Source organism: Homo sapiens, chromosome 3 (genome assembly GCF_000001405.40).
Source record: "Homo sapiens chromosome 3, GRCh38.p14 Primary Assembly".
Classification (NCBI taxonomy): Eukaryota; Metazoa; Chordata; class Mammalia; order Primates; family Hominidae; genus Homo; species Homo sapiens.
This window is the reverse complement of record NC_000003.12, coordinates 62,146,730-62,170,872: the sequence shown is the minus strand read 5'-3', so window position 1 is coordinate 62,170,872 and position 24,143 is coordinate 62,146,730. Positions and strand designations below refer to the sequence as shown.

The 24,143-nt window shown below is 42.3% G+C and overlaps 1 protein-coding gene across 7 annotated transcripts in view, besides 1 other annotated feature; it reads right to left on the bottom strand.

Annotated features, from left to right (window-relative positions):
• PTPRG (protein tyrosine phosphatase receptor type G) overlaps positions 1–24,143 on the bottom strand; it is a 736,039-nt gene that overhangs the window by 126,737 nt on the left and 585,159 nt on the right. For all 7 annotated transcript variants that reach the window (XM_017006961.2, XM_017006963.2, NM_002841.4 and 4 more), the window contains 2 exons: positions 13,649–13,806; positions 2,710–2,902 (listed from right to left, as the gene is read on the bottom strand). In XM_017006961.2, the coding sequence (XP_016862450.1) occupies positions 2,710–2,902; positions 13,649–13,806 (351 nt within the window). The remainder of the gene's footprint in view (positions 1–2,709; positions 2,903–13,648; positions 13,807–24,143) is intronic.
• Positions 503–1,043: an enhancer, noted in NCBI's record as "NANOG hESC enhancer chr3:62155504-62156044 (GRCh37/hg19 assembly coordinates)". NCBI's record gives its function as "activates a minimal SCP1, AML or CMV promoter by ChIP-STARR-seq in naive and primed H9 embryonic stem cells {active_cell/tissue: H9 hESC(naive and primed)}" and the evidence as "EXISTENCE:reporter gene assay evidence [ECO:0000049][PMID:30033119]".

Sequence of the window (24,143 nt, the reverse complement as noted above, 5' to 3'; positions counted from 1 at the left end):
AGGTGTGCTCAGGTTGTGAAAATTCATCAAGCTGTGCACGTATTACGGGTACTGCACTTTTATGTACGTGTAGCTCTCCAATAATAAGTTAAACACACAAATAGGACTGCATCTAGATCCTGCTCTCTCTTTGGCTCTAAAAATATCAGAAAACATTTTAATATTCCCATGTCTTAAAGAGTCAGCAACGAGCACTATGATAATTCAAACAAACCTAGTAGAATGACACATGAATTTGCCGTATTTAAGGATGGTTCTGTGGTTGTGGTCAAATTCAGAGAAGGCCCGTTCAGTGGAAGATCGTGCCTACTTTGACAATTTAACACAATAGAAACCATTATCCTCCCTAGCTTTCTTGGATAATAAAGGCCATGCATTTTCTCTGTACAGCTGATATATCATATGCTTGGCCCATTTTTTCAGGAAAGAGCTTTGTATCTGTCACCATCTCAGCAATTCTGAGCTATCAGATCTTGCACTCACTTGTGATAGGAATTCCTCACCCCCCCAATCCACATCCTCTGCATATAACTCTCACAAAATCCCCAGGAGACCTGATTTTCTCAGTCAACTTCTCTTGGGAGAAAGCTTTCTAGTTGGGTTATTTTCTTCATTTTTTTTTAACTAGGTTAAAAAAAAAATTAGTTCATGTGAGGTTTTCCACGGCAGCCCAACCTAAGATATTTCACAGGTTTGTGAGCTTCTTAATTCTCCCATTGTTCCCAGAGAATGATGCCCTTGACAATCTATTGTCCCCAAATTACTTGAATCTCAAGCATTTCTTGAGGGAACCTGGTGCCTGACTCACTTCTCCTCACTAACCTCAAACAAAATCACACAGACAGGAAGGAAATGATCACATTCTTAAACTCCCTCTCCTCTTCTTTTAGCTCCTTTTCAGAAACATGAGCCTAGAAAATGGGCTCTTTCATATCATCAAAGTGCATGTCACTGCAGTTACTTGTGGAATAGAATCCCATTCCCCCTGTTCCTACAAAGTCCATATGCCAATAAACTGTTCCCTTTTGTTGGGGGTGGGGGCACTCTTGAAAGAAAACCTCTCCACGTAACGTACCACACTAACAGTAGCCCACTCTACCTCCAGTGTTGATAAATGACACAAGCTCTCCCTTTATTACCCAAGCTCATAATTTTGAAGAAGGATAGCACTGGGTTGGGAAATATCCCTTTTCGCACCAAAAGAAAATTCCTTCTTTTTCCTTCCTCCCTTCCAAGTAATAGGGCTTTGATCAGCCTTGCTCCCCTCAGCATTTCCGGAGCTCTGTGACCCAATTCTGATAAATCCCAGAGCCTGAGAGGAGAGGTGTGAGGGTAGAACCAGAAGTTCTAGTTTCCTGGGAGAGAGATTCATATTCATTTCACATGAGCAAGTAGAGATGGAAAAAGACTGAGATGCCTGAAAATGATAAACTTATGTTTATCAGATACCGGGGTTAAACTGTTAAATAATAGGTTAAAAAAATAATAAGCAAGTGATTTCCAGTAGGGGTGAGGCTGGTATGGGAGTTCTTGCCGGGGGTGGATGGTAGTAAGACTGCTATATACTGGGGTGTTGGGAGCAATTCAAAGGTCCTGATGATATGGACAGGAGACAGGGAAATACTGGCTAGAAGCGGGCAGTTCCCGGGCAAAGGCCCCACCCTCAAATTTGGAGACCCTTGGGCCCTAAGTGAAAACAGACATTCCTGTTTTCATGACCAAAAGTTGCCTTTTGGCCCGCCATATCCCGCTATCCTGTACCCATATAAACCCCAGACCCCAGGCTCCAGAAGCAGACGAGAGGGATAGAATAGAAGAGCAGAAGAACAGCAGAATGGCGTGGCAGGGAGAAGAGAAGGAGCATCTGAATGTCAAGGGACAATCAGAGAGGAGACTGCCCACCGAATGGCCGAACTCCATCATCTTCTCACTTGATACCCCTTCCAGCTCCCTATACATCCTGCTGAGAGCCAACTCCGCCACTCAATAAAACCCCCACATTCATCCTTCAAGTCCATGGGCGACCTGATTGTTCCTGGACGCCAGACAAGGACCTGGGTACCAAGAGGTCACTGAGCTGGTTAACACTTAAGCTGTCCACAGACGGCAAGGCTGAAAGAGCCCACTGTAACACATGCCCACTTGGGCTTCAGGAGTCACAGACACATAACCCTAGTGCCAGAGCCCCAAGGAGCTCACCCTGGCTCCTGCACCTGCCCATCTGTGTGCTCCCCCTCCCTTATGTGCTCCCCTAGACCTTATGTGTCTGAGCAGCGAATGGTGACTGAACAGATGAGCCACATTCCTGTTGCATGTCCTTCAAAGCGGGGAGTGGGGTCAGGGAACTCTCCCGTTTCACTGATGTCTGAGCTCAGAGATAAGCTCCTGATCAACAGGGAAACACATAAAAAGTAAGACACTTTTCAGAAAGCTTTCTCTAGACACTGCTAGTAAGTTTTGAAGTTACAAGGCAGAAATGCAGACAGAATTATCTATTATTGGTCAAAAGGGCAATTTCTATCATACCTATTTAACAGAATATATTCCCACACCTGCTCCTATTTTTCAGCCAGACAGGCTCCCTTTAGCAGAGAAACATATGCATTTAACACCAAGTCCCAATTCCTGGCTGGCTTTGAATTCCTTTTAATTTAAAGTAATTTATGATAAGGAATCTTCCTCTGGGCAAGGCACTTAAGCCAAATATACCTTTAGAGGCTTCTGTCCCCAGTGGGTTTTCTAAGAAGTCTGTCATGTCGTGGTTCCAGGAGTCACGGACGGCGGACTTGGACACCACCCTGTCATGCAGACGCTGCTGTGGTCGAAAGTTATTTCTCAGATACTCCACCGACTTGACATGGTCTTGCTGCTCCGTGGTGAAGATGGAATAAAAAGCCTCAAGCTGAACAGAGGACCAGAGAGGGGAGGGGGAAAAAAAAAACAACACAAAAAACACACATCAATTAGAAAAGCTATTTGGTCCAAAGCAGGTGAAGGTGATAAGAGCATGAAACGGTAGGAAGTGCCCAATGCCAGGGCTGCTAAACCCAGCAGGACCTGAGGCTGCCTGCTGGAAACACTGCCAACAGGCTCATCTGGCTGTGGTTTCTGTCCTGCCAACTAACCAGCAAAACACTTCATTTGAGGGCTATACCGCACTCTGAGTTTGTGCCTCCCATGAGAGAGTCCCAGTCTTTCTGCAGTGCCCTGCTGGAAAAGCCTTTACCATTCTAGCAAGAAACATAGGGTCACGGTCAAACTGTTATGTCCCGGAGCCAGACTGCCTGGGTATGAATACTAACTCCATCGCCTACCCACTCTGTGACCTGAACAAGCTGCTTAACCTGAGCCACCATTTTTCCTCAATAAAATGGTGATAATCATAACAATATTTACCCAAAAGGATTTTTGTCAATTTTAAGTGCTGACAAAATATTTAAACCAAGTACAGTGCTTAAAACAGTTCCTAGTATATCATAAGAGCTTCATAAATATTAGGGATTTAATTCTTGGCATCTTCCGACATACTAGTGATCAAGTTTGGCAAAGTCGCCAAGTCACTAAATGTGTGACTTGCAAGTCAAACTGCCTAAGTTCAACATTTACCAGATGGGTAATCGGAGATGAACTGTTCAAGTTTTCTGTAACTCAAGTATCCACAACTGTAAAACACGTAATAATACTTACCTTATAAAGTTGTCAGAAGTATTAAAATTTATGTAAATTGCTTAGCACACAGTTAAGTCCTCAATTAAGGTTAGCTATCATCATTATTATTAATATTATTAAGAAACATCTCTTACAGGACTGCCGATCTAACTTTTATGGAAAGTAAAGGAAAAAAATCAGGGTGCCCAAATCATATTTCTATTATCAAAAGGGATTCTTTGGGCCAGGTGCGGTGACTCAAGCCTATAATTCCAGCACTTTGGGAGGCTGAGGTGGAAGATCGCTTGAACCCAGGAGTTGGAGAGTAGCCCAGACAACGAGACCCTGCCTATATAAAAAATACACAAATCAGCCGGGCATGGTGGTGCATGCCTGTAGTCGCAGCTTCTTGGGAGGGTGAGGTGAGAGGGTTACTTGAGGCTGGGAGTTGCAAGCTGCAATGAGCTATGATTGCACCATGCACTCCAGTCTGGGTGACAGAGTGAGACCCTGTCTCAAAAACAGAACAGAACAAAAAAGGGATTTTTTTGTGTCCCTCAACATTGTGATCATTAAAAAAGGTAATTCTGGCCAGGCCCGGTGGCTCATGCCTGAAATCCCACCGCTTTGGGAGGCCAAGGTGGGTGGATCACTTGAGGTCAGGAGTTCGAGACCAGCCTGGCCAACATGGTGAAACCCTGTCTCTACTAAAAATACAAAAATTAGCCAGGCATAATGGTGCATGCCTTAATTCCAGCTACTCGGGAGGCTGAGGCATGAGAATTGCTTGAACCTGGGAGGCGGAGGCTGCAGTGCACCGAGATTGTGCCACTGCACTCCAGCCTGGGTGATGGAATGAGACTCTGTCTCAAAAAAATAATAAAAAAATTTTTAAAAATAAAAAAAGTAATTCTATTACATATGAGGAATGGAACAGCAACTGAGTGACAGAGACTTGTCCTCAACAGGCCACAAAGTTATTCTTGTCACCAAAAAAAAAAAAAAAAAAAAAAAAAAAAAAAAAAAAGAACTGTAATTTGAAATATGCAGCCACCAAAAATACTAATAGGAGAAGAAAATAGAATGAAGAGAAAAGCTGAATGAACTGTTTCTGGCCCATCTGGATCCTCTGGTGCCAAATAAGAGTGCTTTCTGCAGGAGAAATGGTCGAATGGTGCTAGAAAGATGCTCTCTGTGCATTGAGTGACTGTCAAGGCTTCGGGGAACCAGAAGGCAGTTAATACTAATGTGGAAAATAAAAAAGGGAAATCACTCTCTGGGTTTCTGCAAATTCTAGGTGGTCATCCTGAACCCTGGAACTAACCCCCACTGTTTCTCAAACAGCCTCAGAGAATGACACAGAAAATGACCTGCTTCCAAACAGTCTGCCCTCTCTTTGCATGAGAAAGCGATGAATTGAGGTAGTGATATTAGCCATGCAAAAATCATTGAAGTATATGAATTCACCTATCATTCTACCTCCCCTCCAATTCCACAGCTTATGTAAAATGATAATAAACCATGGAATTTTTTCTGCCTTTTACATAGAACCAGGACGGATTCACAACCAGCCTAAAAGCCAAAGCAGCCTGTTACTCTTGTGTTACTTCAATTCTCTGAGTTACTTTACTATCATAAAAACTCATAGTGTCTCTAGGTAGCATCTGCCTGCCTTCCTATTCTTTCTGCTATTCCTTCTTTATTTACAGCAAAGGAAAGGCAAGACATGACAGAAAAATTAGGAAAATTGGACTGATTACTTTGTCCAAATGTGAGCCACTCAAATGAAGACAACTAAAGATGCTGAAAAATCACCTCCACCTCATGATATGAACTCACTTGACAGGACTACCAAAGTCAGAACTGAATGCATCAAATGTGAGAGCAGGTTTCTGATTTCTCAGAGAAAATAACTTCTTAAAATCATATGAGAAGTATTAACAAAGACCCTCTGGAGACAGCCCAGAAAAAGACCAATCAAAATGATTAAAAAGATGGAGAAAAAATCCTGTGAGGAAAGGTTAAAGGAAGTGGAATTGGTTAGCCTGAGGAAAAGGTGAGTAAGGAGTAATTTCATAAAGCCCCTCATATGTGGAAGATGCTGACCAGCTCTTCTCCATGTCCAGAGAAGACCAAATAAACGGAAATTGGCTTAAATTAAAGCCATAGAGACGTGAGTTTAATAGAGAGAGACATTCCTTAACTTTCAGGATGACTTTTTAGAGAAATGGACTGGGCTGCCATACATCGTGAATTAGACCGGAAATTTTCTGGAAGAGACAGCCATCTGTCCCAAAATAGTTTAATCTCTGAGATGCCAGAAAAGAATGGCCTGTCTCAGAAAACTGTCTCAGCAATACGACTCTGCAGTTTGTTTATTCTCTAGAATACTTGCTTCTTTCAGAGCCAGCATTAAATTCTCCTAAAAAGTTTATTTCTGAAGCCTCAGGAAAGAACAAGTCACATAACTGTAAAAATGAGGCAGGTTGTGAATTTAACACAAAAATGCTTTCACTTAAATTGCTATTGCAGCTTAATGACATGCTACGGTTTAAAAGCATGGTGGCTTCCTTGTTATTAACTTAACTTGCCCCAAGATTTTGAAGAAAGGATGTGATGGTTCTGGGAGTGAACTGATGACCTGAATGATATTATATTGTCAACTGGATCACAGTTGCGCTTGACAGTCATACAAAAGAGGGAAAGGAGGACGAGCTTAGCACACTCATCAAATGTCCTTCTGTGGGTTGGCGGCATTCACTAAAACCCTGTCATTTTTCTAACTTAAATGAAAATCGCCAGTGGCCTGTCTCTTTGGCAACTGGCATGCTTGGCCAGTGAGTTAAAAACCTCCAGGAGCCTTGGATTGGTGAGAGGAGTCTACATTTCTCACTTTGGCAAGTGGGCAGTGACGAAATCTACTGATACATCATTACACAGCAACTTCAGTCTGTCCCCACACCCTGACTCTTGCCTTGGACCTCCACTTTGTTTGATTCCAAAAGGTGCCATAAGCCCACCATGAGAAAGTGTCCCCTAGAGTTGTGCAATATGGAAATCAGGCTGGAGCCACAGAACAAACCATACGGACAAAGTTGTGTCTTTCTGGGTCTTTGACCGGTCCGATGTTTGGTCCGTAATCTGTTCTGCTTTTCTAGATCTGGTTAATAGCTAAACAGTGATCCTTGAAAAATATATATGAGATCACGTAATGTCTCCGTTCAATACTTTTTAACAGCCTCCCATCCTTAATGGTGGGGCCCTTATGATCTGGCCTATGCCTAATTCTCCAAATTCAAAACCCTTACCCCTGCTACCTGGGTACAAAATCCTGTTTTTAAACCCTACTTGCTAAATGTGTGACCTTGGTCAAATTATTTAATCTTTCTGTGCCTCAGTGTCTTTATTTGTACAATGGAGGTAACAGCATTACCTATTTCCTGTGGTTTTTGTAACTATTCAAAGAGTTGTGATATATAAAATATTTGGAATGATTCCTGGCACACAGCAGGTGCTCAGTAAGTACTATCACTACTGTCATTATTATTTCATGAGGAATGTGGTAACTACAATTGTACTCTAAGCTTACAACAACTGTAAAATGCTGTATCAACCTTCCCTTCCTTATCCCCCTTATATTTATCAAACCTATGACATGCCAGGTACTTCTTTAAGTACTTTACAGACATTATTTTGGTTTCCAACTTCTTTTTAGCTTAAAGTAATGACATTAAATAATGACATTAAAGTAGCATTACAGAACACTCTTATTATATCATGAACACTAGCAGCCAATATTTGCTGAGTGCCTATTACATGCAAGGCATTGTGCTGAGACTGGTATGTGCTTTCTCTCACTTAATCCACAGAAATCCCATGAGGCTGGTGGTAATATTATTATTAATAGCAGTATTAGTATAAGTTTTATTGACTAGTAAGGAAATTGGGCTTAGAGGCATTGAGTAACTTGCCCAAGGTCACTGATATAGTTTGGATCTGTGTCCCCACCCAAATCTCAGGTGGAATTGTAATCCTCAATGCTGGAGGAGGGGCCTGGTGGGAGGTGATTGGATCATGGGGACGGAATTTCCCTCTTGCTGTTCCCGTGACAGTGAGTGGATTCTCACGAGATCTGGTTGTTTAAAAGTGTGTAGCGCCTCCCCTTTCTCTCTCTTCTTCCTTCTCCAGCCATGTAATGCATGCCTGCTTCCTGTCCGCCATGATTGTAAGTTTCCTGAGGCCTTCCCAATCATGCCTCCTGCAGAGCCAATTAAACCTCTTTTCTAATAAATTACCCAGTCTCAGGTAGTTCTTTATAGCAATGTGAAAATGGACTAATGCAGGCACGGGAACCAAGAGGTGAAGTGAGGCTTAGAATAGCAGGTCTGTGTGACTCTATTTTGTATGCTCTCAGCTATTTCATGCCACAGGCATAAAAGGCCTTAGCATTATCCACTGAAAGAGCCACACTGCAGTGGAGAAATGGATGCAGTGATAGTATAAGTCCTGAAACAATTCCCTTTAGCTAACCTCAAGGCCATTCCACACAGGGCACCCTGCATCAGCAACATACATCTATCTATCTTCATCCTTCTGCACTCTGAATAGAAACTGCCAATAGCCCAACGCAGAAAGAACTGGGAGGCATGAACAAGACAGCAGGCCCAAGGAGAAAATCCCGTCCACCTCCCAAAGCCCTCACTTTTCTTGGCTGATCCTTTGCCACAGCAGGGTAATAAACACACTTGGATTTATCTTGACTTTAATACAACTAATGAAGTCTTTATCATTTAGTAAAAATAAATGAAAGTTTTTATTTCTATAATATTAAATTGACTCTTAAACTTTTGAAGTGAATGTGTAAAACATTTCTTTCTTTTATCCCTGCTTGGGGATTTGTAATTGCAGTTTAACTGGTGCTGTTTCAAGAACAATTTTAACCTTGAATTGCAAATGTGTTGGCTCGAAGTGTATATAAATCATTTCAACTTAGTTTTTATTATAAAAGTATTACGGAGAATAATTAGTTTTTAATCTGTCGGTTCGAATCAAAGGCAAGCTGAAATCTATTCATGCCCTTCGTGTGTAGCGAGAGCTCCTGTCCACAAGACTTGGGCAGGACACCACTGTGGATGAAAGGGAGAAATGAGAGAATACCAAAAGTAATATAATTATGAGCCATTAAAAGGCTGATATGTACAATAGTTTAAGGGATGGGCATATAATGGCAATTAAACAAAACCACGGTCCATTATTAGCACAGCAAGGAACCCAAGGATACTAACTAGAAACTGGAAAATCTCACCTAAGGTCATGGAGATTATTTTAGCTTCACCACACATTTGAGGGATGACAGGGCAGGTCGTGTTTGTTGCCTCCTTATTAAACAAGACAATGATAATGGAATATTAAATTCCCAGTAGCCTGGAGCATCCGAAATTTTACTTACTGAACCACAGCTGCAAACATAAAATCTAAGAACAGCTAGCTAAATGCAGGGCCATGCCCCTCCTGTGGCTACAGTCAGTTTTGCATGAAGGTGATTATAGAAAGGGCTTTATAGAAGGAAAAGGACTTAACCATAATTAACAAAGAAAGCCATCTCTCTTGGATTAATATGGCATCTTCACCCCATCATTAAAAAACCTCCTTCATTCACATGCACTGCACGTCATGTGTTGAAATAGAAACGTTCTGAATTAAGTGACTCACCAGTTGTCGTGGCCTTGAGATAAACCTTACAGCTGTGACAGCCAGTAGCCACACGTGGCTATTCCATTAGAAATATGGCTAGCCCTACATTTGCAGTGATAATATTGTGGATACATTTGATTAAATAAATTATACTACTAAAATTAATCTCACTTGTTTCTCTTTACATTTTTTAACATGATTACTACAACATTTTAAATGATGTGATTTTACTTCTACCAGACAGTCCTGCTTTAAAGGCTGGTGATCATTTAATACCTGCAACAACAACAAAACCAACAACAACAACAACGCCTAATATCTCCAAAGCACTTCCTGTGATGTGCACTTTATACATATTCTAGTCTAAGCATTTTATACATATTCCACCATTTAATCTTTATTGTGACTCCATGAGGGGAGTATTATCATCATGATGTTACAGAGGAGAAAACCGAGGCACCAAATAGTAGAGTACTTGAGTAATTTGGCCGAAGAACAAAGCCATAAATGGAACCCAGGCAGTTTGCCTCCAAAGCACACAGTCTTAATTTCAAAGAGCTGCTCTACTGTTTCTCACAGATACCTTTGGTTAAAAAGGGTCATGCAATTAAACCTTTTCTGTCCACTCCAGCTTACTGTCAGAAAAAAAAAAAAAAAAAAAAAAAATCACACATCTAAAGGTAAACAAAGTAGATGCAGTCAGACTTATTTATTGCCTTTTTGATAGCACCCCCTACAAGCACTTAAGTAAAATTCAAGCTGGGGAAAATCATAGGTAGTGCCTTATTTTAACCTACAAGATGCAAACAGTCCTGGAAAGGAAGGGTTGGGTTAGTTGCCTATGGGCAAAGAACCATCATCTGAGAAGCACTATTCTAGAAGAAAACAAATCCTAGTTAACTGGACTGAAAGCTAATCATCTTCTATGACTGATCATGAATATGTTGCCTGCAACCATCTCCATGTGTTGTCCGGCTCCTCTGACATCCCACAGAAGGGCCGAGAGTGCTGCCATTTTGTTGGGGTGACCCATTTTGTTTGGGGGACATGATTTTGGCCTGATATTTTCAGAAGATGTTTAGAGGGGCCACATAAGCCATGCTGACTAAGTGGGGAATCCCAAACCAATGTGCGGTTCCATTAGCAATGCTGTATTTTAATCTAGATTATCACACAAGCCAGAGGTACAAGTGCACAGGCTGGCAGGGCTGACTTGAATGCCCAACTAGACTCACAAAAGGGAACAAGAGAAGAAAGATTACTGTTTGCCTGTATGTACTCTGAAAGGCTTCAAAGAAATCCACATCATACAAGTCAACACTTTGTGCTAACCGTTATATTTCATGGTGAATATGCTCAAATTTTCATTGAGTGCAGGCACCCATGCTGGATGACAGGGAAGAAAAGAGAGAATACAGAGACTGTAGAGAAGTAGAAGAACGAGAGACTAGGAATGTTTTCTTTCTGTCAGAGGCAGACATGGAATTCCTGACTACTTGGCTTTTCCGAATTGGCTGTTCGCCTTTCTGAAATGAACATTCTGTGCTAACTTCAGAAAGAATGTTGGCAGGGTCAGGGTGGGAAGGTCTGAAGCGATAATACTTGGATGGCGAATGCTTTCCTTTCCAAGGGCTGACACAGCTGTGACCTCCACAAAGCCAGCCAGCAAGGATCCAGTTTGGCCACATGAATATGAGCTGTTTTCCTCCCTTGGGAGAGAGAGAGGGACACATGAAGCAGTGTCTGATAAAACTAAAGTATTATCTTAAGACGGTTTGTAGCAAAGAACCTGGAAAGCAAATATGACTGATTTCTTTTCTATTTCCCTGAAATACAATACCTAGAGAGAAGTTATATATTGGAAGGCAAATACAAATCTTACATTATTTCTTCTTTGAGCGTATGGGTGGCAGAGAGTGGAATAGTGAGGAGATATTTAAAAAGCACTTTCTCAGAGCCCCAGTTACAAAAATGGTGATCAAAATGCTTCTAAAAGACAAACACTTGGCAAAACATCCAAGCCCCAAACTGTTTTTTGTTTCAAATCTGGAGCTATAATGAAACCCAGCATATGTTAATGGTCCTTATTTCTCTCCAGCTAATCAACGACTCTCTGCCTCTCCTTACATGGAATTCTATATGAAAAGTAGCCAAATCAGTATTCCTTAACTTCATTATCTCAAATCTTTCTCTTTTTTTTTTGAGACAGTCTCACTCTGTCATCCACACTGGAGCGCAGTGGCATGATCACAGTTCACTGCAGCCTTGACCTCCTAGACTCAAGTGATCCTCCCCCCTCAGCCTCCCAAGCAGCTGGGATCAACAGACATGTGCCACCACGCCTGGATAATTTTTTAATTTTTTTTTTGCAGAGATTGGGGTCTTGCCATGTTGCCCAGGCTGGTCTCAAATTCCTGGGCTCAAGGGTTCTTCCTGCTTCACCCTCCCAAAGTGCTGAAATTATAGGCATGAGCCACTGAGCCGTAAACCTTTCAATCTTTCAAGACAAAAGTATTTATTAACTGACAAAAAAGGATCTTGAAAAAAAAATTCCTTCCACCAACGCTGTTTATATAAATATTTGGGCTGTAACTTTATTATTTTTTTTAATGAAACAATGTTGGCATCACCATTAGGAAGAAAACTCATTTCTTATTTCATTATCTCCTTAAGGCTGGCAGATCCTGTTCTGAAACCAAATCGCCAGTCCTTTCTTTATTGTCAGGGTCAGATTAAAAGGAAAAAAAAATCTGAAAGTAAAATGATTGCCAAAACAGCAGTGAGGCCAAATAAATTTGTTCAGCCTGGCCTTACATGACCTAACTTGGTTAGGGGGATAGTGTCTCTACTGCCCCTACCTTCTTCTAGGGAACCTGCCCCATTTACCCACTGACAGGTAACACTGGATGTTTCAGGATGCTATCTGGCACCTCTGATGGCTCATTCACCTCTGATGGCTCATTCAAAGATGGACATGTGACCCAAGGCCAGCCAAGTAGTTGGTTGGCCAATGTCTATTCAGACCCACCTACTGGAATACTTGACATAAGACCCAGAAGGTCAACTGGTACTAGAACAATCAGACTGGAGGAGGTGGTCATTTCTATGAAAGACATCCTAAGTACCTTCCAGTTTTGGACAGTCTTGGTTAATGGCTCAAATCCACTTTCTTACAAATCCTACCCATCGTTCCTGGCTCTATTTTTGGGAATAATGCAGAAGAAATTTGACACTTTTTGTAATTCAGTCCATGCTGAATTTTGCACAACTAACATGTCCCTCCTAAGAATCATCCCCAACCATGCATTCAAACCTCATGAGGTGACTTAAAGACCTCTCACTGCCTGGATGGTTCCCCTTCCTCTGACACTGCCTCAATTCTATCTCCAGTTCATCAGTTCCTACCCACAGTTAACTGCCCAGCCTAAATCATGCCTTCCCATGAAGTGTTCTCAGTCCACACTCAGAAGGAAGCAGTACAATATAGTGGTCAGAAACATGGGTTTTGGAATCAGGCAAACCCAGGCTTAGTTTTTGGCTTCATCATTCATTAACCATGAATCTTTGGGCATGTTACCCAATCTCTCCACGCCATGATGTTCTATGTGAATACCCATCTCTCTATGTTTGTGTTGCCACTGATTAAGTTGATATGTATAAAGTGCTGAGTAAAGTACATAGCACACAGAAAGAACTCAATCAATGGTATGTTTTATTTCATTTCTCCATGTCCACAAATCTCTTTCTTTTCTGAACTGTGGGTAGGCTTAGTGGTCAGAGCATGCTCTTTGGAATCAGACACCATGGCATGGTTACCAGTTGTGTGATTGTGGGCAAATAACCTTCTGTGTGGCTTGATCTCCTCTATAAAATGGGGGTATGCACAGCACCTTCCTCATAAGACTGTAGAATGGGGGTACAAATAGCATCTACCTCACAAGAGTGTTGTTCATGAAGATGAAATGGGTCAACATTTATAAAGAGCTTAGAAGAGTTTCTGGCACAAAAGGTCATCATCATTGAGGATAGCTATTATTACCTCCTCAAGATTGAATACTTAAACAATACTCAGATTTCATGAGTGCAATTCTCTTTAGTGAGTTAATTTCATTTGCGGCTAAGAAACCACATTCTATCGCTTGCAGTTCTTGGGTTCAAAAACATGTTTGTGGGAAAGACTGCAGGAATCAATGATATGCACAGGATCAAGAACAAATTCCTTAGTGGTATACTCTAGCCATGCTGGATCGTTAAGTCAATACAAAACAAGTAAACACAGAAACCCCACTTGAGGAAGAATATCTACCTGATGGTAAGAGATGGGGACGGGTCTCCGGAAGACTATCCACTCCACTATTTCGCTACACGGTGGTGTGGTCAAGGAACCTGTGTACCGATAATAGCTGCCCAGGGATGCAGGCAGGAGGTCCCGGAGGACGAAAGGATCCAGAAAGGTCTCCTTCTCTGTTTGGGGAAAAAGGGAAAAGAAAAGCACAATGGTAAGTCATGCCATTCCGAGCCGCAGACACAGTCAACACCCTCGGCATGCTGGTGCCACATCGCAAGCCTTATGTTTGTTTATATCCTGAGAAGCACTAGCATTTGGTGGTGGGAGAGCCTCAGTAAACAAAGCAGCATTTCCCAGGGTGTGTTCTGAGGACACCAGTACCACAGTATATTTCAATAAAATACAGGTTCCATGATGAACATGGTTGGGCCACATTAAAGTCCCTCTCCCTTCCCCAGGAAATAGACAAAATATTCTAGCATACCAAAATCTCTGAGAAGTCTTGCAGAAAAGAAATGGGCTTGACTTTGTTTAACCCACCCCTTCCCAATCTTGTTTCATCATAGAACTCTTCTCTAATTATCTATGAACAGATAGATAATCAGTGGAACAAACTTTGGGACACAATGAGAGAATCACTGTGAAAAGAAAACTGTAAGTCACCAGTAACATGCAATTCCAAAGCTGGCTACATTTCATTATGGTTTCACCCAAGTCCTCTCCAAATCGAAGTGAAGCCCAACCAAGGCACAACTAGAAATTTAAAAAGAATGGCCCCAGGAACCAGCATTCTTTTTACAAATGTGGCGGTATCTTCCCTTAAACAGAAGAAATGATATTTAAGTTCAGACCCAACAATGAAAATATGATTAATCTATGAGGAAAGCAAGGCATGGAATGGGTTAGTGTCTGCTCAAGGTCACACAGCTCCTAAGAAGCAAAGCCAGGATGTGAATCCAGGTGTCTTGACACCGAAGACTCCACACAGCTCTGACTCAGCCATAGAAGGCACTGAGGTTAGCCAGGTGAAAATGCAAGGGTGGGGGCAAACAAGGTAAAGAAAAACATTGTAAGCAGTAGAAACAGCATGAGCAAAGGCCCTGGGACAGGAAGGAATAGTGTCGTAGAGAAGATGAGGAAAATATCTTATAATTCTTCCAAGCATGCCCAGTAAACTATCTAGCTTCTTTCGTGAGTCAGAGAAGGTTCTAGTCTCTACATACATCTCCAGACATCTAGTCTTGAATTTACATCTGGGATTCTCTCCCCTTCCCTGTTGGAGATGCAATAAGACTACTGGAGTCCTGCTCATGGGGTCCCTTAGCTCCTTCATGGCTTCCACCAGCCCCGGGAACAGGGTTCCAGGTGACCTCATAGACACACCTGAGGCTACAGGAATATCATTCCCAAGCCTCATACCTCCTCCTTCCTTCCTCTTCTCATTTTCATGCAGAACAACTAGTACAGAAATTTGGGCAACTGTGCATCCCCAGACTCGAGAAGTCTGTGTAACTAGGGGATAATGCAAAAACCCAACAAGAATCAACTATATTATAATTAAAATTGCAATTTCCTTTTGGAAAAGATTAGTTGAAGAAGACTTAACATTGATTTAGCTTCGCCTATATGCCAGGCACTATTCTGAGTATTTACAGGTTGCAAACACTTAAACAGCACTTATTATATGCAAGAGGCCCTGTTCTAAGAGCTTTATAAAGATTAATTTATTTAATGCTTAAAATAACTCCATGAAGTTAGTTCTATGATTATCCCCAGTTTACAGAGCCGGGATGCAGAAACAGGTAGCTGGGTTTAGAATCCAGGCTTTTATTATTCACATCACTATGCTCTCTTAGTTCACAACTCTATGAAGTGTGTGCTTTCTAATACTCATTTTACAGATGTGGAAATCAAGGAACAGAGAGGTTAAATAACCAAGCCCAAGCACTGGTGAACAGCGAAGTAACAGCAGTTATTCGTGAGGCTCAGAAACCTTGGCTGATTCTCAGAGAGGTGTTCAATTCGTCTTTTTCTAAAATAAAAATTTAGTATTACCCAATAAATGCAAAAGTCTTCAAATCATAGGGTTCTATAATCAAAATTACAAAAACAATTTCTGCTGTACAAAAGGCTAGAAATAACGGAATTGCCCCTCCGCCCACTGGCAAGTCTGGGCTTTAATTTAAACCTGGTTACCAGCAGCCTAATGACAGGGGAAATCTCTGCAAGCATGCTTGGCGGGGACTGGTTTGGCCCGGAGAAGAAAATATTTTGGCCTTTGCTTGCTGCCTCTGAGCTTCCTGGGCTGTGTAAAGAGTCAACACAAAGCCCCAAGCGATAGAGGGTGTGGGTAGGGCTTGGCACCACCAACTGCAAAACTACCACCTTCATGTCTCCCTCATGTTGTAGGTGAACTTCGAGTCACACTGCAGCACACCAACCTGCCTTAGGATCAAGGGATCCAGGCCGAATGGCTAGAGAATCAGAAGAGTTTTCCCCTCAGAGCCGAGTCCAACATTAGGGTTGCAGTTAAGCATGCTGTATGCTGACAGGAAGTGACAAGACAACCCCGGCAAACCCCTGGCAGCCGAGCCCCCATCTAAACACACTATAGGAAGAGGCCATGGCTTTAAAGAGCATCAAAAGATAAAGCAAAAGCACCTGCCCCACCAACAGGAGGAGATTAGATTTCAAAGGGGAACGCTGATTGGGCAGGGTCGGACTCTTATGTAAGTTCTCAGATGGGCTCATGGATTAAGCAGGCATGATGGAAAGTGCGTGTGACCCCTGCTGCAAACTCAAAAGGGCATCTCTGTTCTTGACCAACACCAGGGCTTCAGAGGCAAGCTCTGGTTTTTGCTGATCAGCACGTGCAGTCAGATCGGTGGCGAGGTGGGTAGACCCAGTACAAGGGACAGGGGAGGAGGGCCTGGCTTCACTGCTTATTCATTCCACCACTATCACTGCCATTGAATCTTAGGACTTTGTGATCTGGAAGGGACTTGGACAGTTCAGTGGCTTAGTTCAGTGGCTTTGGAGGCCAAAGGATGGTCTCTTCAAACAAAATCTTGCTCAAGACCCCAGCAACTCAAATAAGTTAAGTCAGCCCTGGTGGCTGAAGCCGAGTAGGGGATCCAGGGACATTTTGAAAACCATCGATTTAGTCCAATTCTTTGACTTTAGGGCTGGATAAATAGAAGACCAGGATGAAGTAAAAGACCTAAGGTCAAAAACATGTGAAGAATACAGAGACTCACATGGGATTCTTTCTTCAGGGAATCTGAAACAGTATGCCTGGAGAGCAGAAAACATCATTCAGGGCTGAAAACTGACATCTAACCACTGCCTGCACCAGCACCCCCAGCACTTGTGAGTTCCTTCAAGGGTTGCTGCTGGAGAACAGATTTTCAGCCTGCCCAGGTTCAAATACCAGCTCCGCTATCTGTGAGCTGTGTGAGCATAGGCAAGTTACGAAACCTTCCTAGGCTGCAGTAGTGAAGATTATAAATAAGTCAATAAAAGAAAGAGGTTCAGAAAGAGCTGGGAACACAGTAAACATCTCATACGTGATAGATATTATTCTTACTCTCATTGTTGTTACTTTTACTATTATTCCTCTAAGCTACCAATGTTCTGTCATGTACTTTCTTTAATGTTTTGTGCATGTCTTTTTGTTTTTTTTTTAACTGGATTACTCCTTGTGCCCTTAAAGGCATACCATGTTAGATATATTGTCCATCAGCATGAGCAGTCTAGGTTAAAGCTTTCTTTGCCAAAGCTCCAGTATGGGCTTCGAATTAACTGACATTTGATGGCTGTGCAACCTTAGGCCTAGGCCTTAACCTCTCTGAGCTACTTCCATCATCTGTAAAATGAGAATAATGAGAATATTTACTCTCAGGGTTGCTGTGACAATTAAGCAAGTTAACAGACATAAGGGGCTTGGTATAGTTCCTGGCCCAGTGTAAGCCCAGATTTATCAAGGCAAGCATGTGGCTGACCACAAGCCCAGATGAGGTACAGGCTGGCTCATTTTGGGTTTTAAGCTAGGAACGAGCAACCGTTTTCTATAAAGTACCAAAGAGTAAATATTTTAGGCTTTGCAGGCCAAGAGGTGAATTTGAAGATGTTATGTAGGTACTTAAATAACAAGCACACTTTCACAATCTTATTAACTGTATTTGAAATGCTATTAATAACTGAGAACAATTTTCAAAATATATATCTACTTAATGAGAATAATATGATTCTTTTTTGGGGGAATAACATTTCACTTAATTAGGAATTAAATGTAAAAACCATTCTTAGCCCAGGGGCCATACAAAAATAGACAGTAGAATGGATTTGGCCTTCGGTCATATTCTGCCTGCCCCTATTTTAACACAAGTGTTGGGGGTGGGAAGTGGGAAAGGAATCCCAAGTATCAGAAAGTCACCTTGACAGCCATAGCCAGACCTGTGGGGTGGGGGGAATTATGCTATATGTTCAGGTGCCCCCATTAGTAAATGACAATGCATTACAGAATTAACACGAGCAATACATTACAGAATTAACTCTCGACTTTTTCCCCCATCTCAGTTCAAGTCGAAGAGCAGTTTGCAGTGATCTTTCTGAAAATTTCATTGCCTGCTCAGTCCCACTGACAGTGCTCTACTGATAAATGGGGTGCTTGCAATGCTTAATTACAAATTAGAAACAATTTTAGAAATGGTAGCTCTACATTTCTAGTACTGTCCACTGATGCCAGCTTAAGCCATAGGGGCTCAACTGGCCAGACTCAAGACTGGTGGTTCCTGAGTATAGCCACTGGGAGGAAGAAATAAAGCACTTTTCAGCTGAAAACGTAAACTCTTCCATTTATAAAATCTTTTTTTTGTTTGTATAAATTAGAGACAGATTCTCACTCTGTTGACTAGGCTGTGGTGGCACCGCAACCTTGAACTCCTGGGCTCAAGCAATCCTCCCCTCTCAGCTTCCTGAGTAGCTAGGACTATAGGCTTGTATCACCATGCCTGCCTAATTAAAAAAAAAAAAAAATTAGTAGACATGAGGTCTTGCTGTGTTGCCCAAGCTGGTCCCAAACTTCTGGCCTCAAGCAATCCTCCAGCCCCAGCCTCCCAAAGTGCTGCAATTACAGCTGTGAGCCCATATGCCTGGCTAATAAAATCTTAATAAATGTAGATATTATAAAATGGGGAGAAGTGCTAGAGCTAGGTCCCCTGGATATGAATCCTAACTATTCTACTTAAAGGTTTGACTTGAGAAGGGTTATTTAACCTTTGTGTAAGTGTTTCCTCATCTGTAAAATGGGATAATAACACTGACATTACAAGGAGGTTCTGAGTATGACTCAAATGAGTTAACATCAGGTGAGAGCTTAGGAGAGCGCTTGACACAGTAAGCATGCATAGTGCTTGTTAAATAAGTCTTGCTATAAAAGGGCAGTGTGACTCCATGCCCATCCTGATCAGTGCATTCTGCCTCCAACTTTTATCATAATTAGTCATTTGAATTCAAAACATTCCTGTCCCAGCCACTTACTAGTTGAGAAAAATATTTGAAAAACTATTTATACCACCATTCATTCCATTATACCATAATAAGCAGGTACTGTGCATTACTAGATAAAAGAATTGAAAAGAAATGCATCTCGTATTCCACCTTCAAGGATCCCGGGTGCTGTATGCAGACAATATTATATTTTAATAATTAATTGTTCATCAAAGAAAAAGATGAGGAACAGCGATGCTAAATTCAAAGTTATTCAAATTGCAAAAATGAATAATGTATGACTTTTATATTAAATACACACTGTATTAAGTAGTCTACATTTCACCCAACGCTTTCTTTCATTTTTAAGCATTTTGAATGACAATATGAATAACCAGTTAGGGGAGATTTATTTGGAAAAAGAAATACCTTATTTGAATGCAAAGGGTTTATATCTGAAGATGATTAAATTTTTCTTATCAATTAGGAAATTTTGTATAAGGGCTTTCAAGTCATGGTCAACCATTAAGCCCAGCGCGGCCCAGTTATCCTTGCAGTTTCCTTTCAACATTAAATTATATCTGGCTGATTCTGTTCAATTTCTTACTTCTGATAGCAGTGCAAGGAGGCAATTTTTAATTAAAGAAAATCTGAAAGATTCAAACATGGATAATTGGATTAAAAATGTGATCATTAAAACATTAGATGATAATCAGCTGATTGATTGCATTTCTTGGTATGTTAATAGCCTAATATTTTCAATGCTTTGGTTATATAGGAAAAAAAGAAAGCTCTTTATAAAATACGATGAACAGTCAATGTATAGAAGAGACCTGTGCAGTAATCAGGAATTGTGGAAGTGCACTGAACACCCACTCCCACACCCCAATAAACAATGTATTACATTGGAAGATTGGAAGGTTATTTGGACAGGATGTGGTAGTTTCTAGGGGAAGAAAACCTGAGGCATTCCCTAAACAAAGGACCAATTAATTTTAGGAAAGTGTATGAAAGCCCAAGCTTCTGTTTTTAGCCCAATGATTATTTGGTTTCTTCAGGGTTTCCCACAACTTTTTTTTTTAGAGGAAAAGCAATTAACTTTTCCTTAAATGCCTAAGATCACTGGGGCAGGGCTAGCCTCTGCCTGGTGTTATGCAAGGAGGGAAGGAAGGAGTGGATAGTGGAAAGAATTGGGCATTAAGTCATTAGAAATGGAAGATGATTTATGACAGCGCCACTTAAACTTCAATGTGCAGGCAAATCATCTGGGAAGCTTGTTAAAATGCAGATTCTGATCCAGTAGGTCTGGGATGAGAGCTGAGATTCTGCGTTTTTAATAAAATGGATGCTGCTGGTCTCAGGACCATATCTGACTAGCCACTTTCTACAGGGACTGTATCAAAGGGTTCCTACATCCTGTGCAGCCTCATTCACTTCCACTTTCTGATTTTTAGGTATAGCTACACTGGCCTCTTTGCTGTCCCATGAACACACTGCCCCCAGGGCCTTTGCACTGGCTCTTCACTCTGTCCAGAACATTTCTTCATTACTCCATTCACGGCTGCTTTGGGACCAAATGTTCTGCAGCTGTTAGCAAACTTAGTCATATTTGAATCACCGTTTCTAAATGAGGCCTATCCTGACCACTGTTTTGCAAACAGCAATTTCAAGGGCAGGATCACTGAGAAGGAAACATTTGATTGAAAGCCTGAAGGCAGTGAGGAACTGAGCTACATGGCTACATGGGGAGAAGAACACTCCAGGAAGGGAGAAAAGCCAGTGCAGAGGGACTCTGCCTGGTTTAAAGAGAAATGGTTGGAGTGAAGTAAGCAGGAGGGAAAACAGAAGGAAAAGATCAACTGTCCAAAACTTCCCAGGATTGAGGGGGGGAAAAAATCAGCTTTTGGGTAAGTACAATTGATAATCCCGCTCAGAATTATGAAGAGGTGACACAACTGAGTAAAACACTAGACATGGAGTCAGCAGCTCTGGGTTAAGTCTAGACCGGCCATGAATGTAGTGTGTAACCTGGGAGGAGTCTTAGGTGGGTGTGACAGTGGGCAACAGGAGGGCCTGCCAAACACAGGGGTGAGAAACGGCAAGTTGGGAGGAAAGAAAGAGGCTGAGGGTGAGAATCCAGAAGGCAGCAGGGAGGTGGGAAAGTATTAGATTAGAACGAAGATGGCCGGGCGCAGTGGCTCATGCCTGTATTCCCAGTACTTTGGGGGAGGCCAAGGTGGGTGGGTCACCTGAGGTCAGGAGTTTGAAACCACCTGGCCAACTTGGCGAAACCACATCTAAAGATACAAAAATTAGCCAGGTATGGTGGCGTGTGCCTGTAGTCCCAGCTTGTTGGGAGGCTGGGGCAGGAAAATCGCTTGAACTGGGAAGGTGGAGGTTGCAGTGAGCCAAGATCGCGCCACTGCACTCCAGCCTGGTGACAGAGTGAGACTCTTGCCTTGAGGGAAAAAAAAAAAAAAAAGAGGCCTCCCTAGGGGGACCCCAGAGGGAGTTAATTTTATGATCCAAATACAAACAAAAATACTTGCTCTCTATAGCAGGGTGTTGATTCTCAAAGCATGTCATCGTTCTGTCATTAATAAGTAGGATGTAATGGGAATGACAGCATGGGAATGGGGCTGTCCTGTTTGCAAAGTAGGGCCATCTGCAAGGCTTCACAGTAAATGATTTTAAGGAACAGGCACAAGACTGAAGTTATGATTGGGTGATGGGGAAATCGAGGTCTCAAAGACACTAGTTTTTTGTCTTATATATGAGAGGAAAACAAGGTTTACAAGGAAAGAGGCTGGACCACAACTGCACTGTGTGTGACATGGGAAGGGATCTAGCTCTCCTTATGCCCATCTTTCTACCACCCTCATTCTGGATCCCTGGGCTCTGGGGTCCTCATCTGCAGGATCAGGTGAGGAAATCTCACTGAAGACTAGGCAACTATTTTAGCTATTTATTTATTTATTTATTTATTTTGTGGAGACGGAGTCTCGCTCTGTCCCCCAGGCTGCAGTGCAGTGGCGTGACCTCAGCTCACTGCCACCTCCACCTTCTGAGTTCAAGTGATCGTCTGCCTCAGCCTCCCGAGTAGCTGGGACTACAGGCACGCCACCACGCCCAACTAATTTTTTGTATTTTTAGTAGAGACAGGGTTTCACCATGTTGCCCAGGCTGGTCTCAAACTCCTGAGTCACCTCAGGCAATCTGTCTGCCTCGGCCTCCCAAAGTGCTAGGATTATAGTCGTGGGCACCCACGCCCAGCCTCTTTTAGCTTTTTAAATGTAAAACTAATCCTGACACTGGCCAGCTTAAAATCTTCCAGTGGCTTCTTGGTTCATTTAGAATAAAATCCAGACTCCTTATGGTGGCCATGGGGCCCGACATGACCTGTCTACCACTGCAGCCTGTATTTTCCTCTCTCTCCCTTGCTGACCACCTACCTGCCTCCTCACCTTGCTGTTCCCTCTGCCTGGAATGCTTCCCCTCCCACCACCCTCCATAGAGATGATGCCTTTTCATCCTTCATGTCTGAGCTCAAATGTCACCGCCTGAGCCCCCCATCTCAGTATGTTTTCTCTGTTATTTATTTATTTTTGAGATAGAGTCTTGTTCTGTCACCCAGGCTGGAGTGCAGTGGCACGATCTCGGCTCACTGCAACCTCCACCTCCCGGGTTGAAGTGATTATCTTGCCTCAGCCTCCCGAGTAGCTTGAACTACAGGCGTGCACCACCATGCCTGGCTAATTTTTTTGTATTTTTAGTAGAGACGGGGTTTCACCATGTTAGCCAGGCTGGTCTTGAACTCCTGCCGCCTGGCTCAGCCTCCCAAAGTGTTAGGATTACAGGCGTGAGCCACCACGCCCAGCTTGTTATTAACTTTCTGCATCACACCTTCATTTCCTTTCCAGCATTCCTTTGTTTACTGTCTGCCACAACAGCTTGATTATTCCACAAGAGCGAAGACCTTGCCTGTACATATATCCAGCAGCTAAAACACTTCCCCAGAACACAGTAGGTGCCTAATAATTATGTGAAAAGAGAATGAAGAAACAAACAAGCACAGTAGCTATTGGTATATTTTAAATAACAAACAAGTCCCAGATACTGTTTTCCTCATCTCCAAGTCAACATCAATCGTGAGATGCATCATTATTCCAATACCACTAATAAAGGAAACATGTTGCTAATTAAACAATGACTTGATATGAACTCAAAGATGCATCCCAATTTTAGAGTTGCTAAAATATGAAGACATGAGAGTCGCAGAATTGATTAACTAAGATACTGACATTATTCAGTAGGACTCACAGCAAAGGGCCCCGTCAACTTTCTGAGTCTAGTAGAAGCCAGGTCTAGAGCTTGTTGTTTTATGTGACCACAGTAAAGGATGTGCATAGGGCCAGGCAGCAGCAGCATTGACTCTCATCTGTTTACAGTGACTGGGTTCTCTAGCCTCAGTTTACCCTTCACTGACCTGCACCCCAAGACTCCATTCCACACTGTGGGATTTGCTTCAGTTTGCCTCCTTTTCCCAGTTCACACTTACGGTTCAGAAACTGGGTGCCAGGCCCTGCTGTGGCCTTTCTCTAAGTGAAGCTTCATAACCCTATGAAGTAGGAATCAACATCCTAGTGAGGGCTGAGAACTTACCCAAGGTCATAGGTTGTTAAGACCTGGGTTTCAGTCTGCGTAATTGGCTAACATGGTCTCTTTGACAGGTTGTAGGCTCTGTTACAGCAAGACCATGCCTCCTGACCTTATCCCCAGCACCCAACGTAGCACTTTATAAAGTAGGTCTTTCATACATGGCTAAAAGAAATTGACCAAACTAACTCACGACATATCTCTAAGTCAAAAGTGGGCAAACTATGGTACATGGGCCAAATCTGGCCTAGTGCCTACTTTTGTAAATGAAGTTCTGTTGGTACACAGCTCATTTGTTTATGCATTGTCTACGGATGCTTTCAGGCTACCACTGCAGAGTTGAGTAGTTGCAACAGAGAATATATGG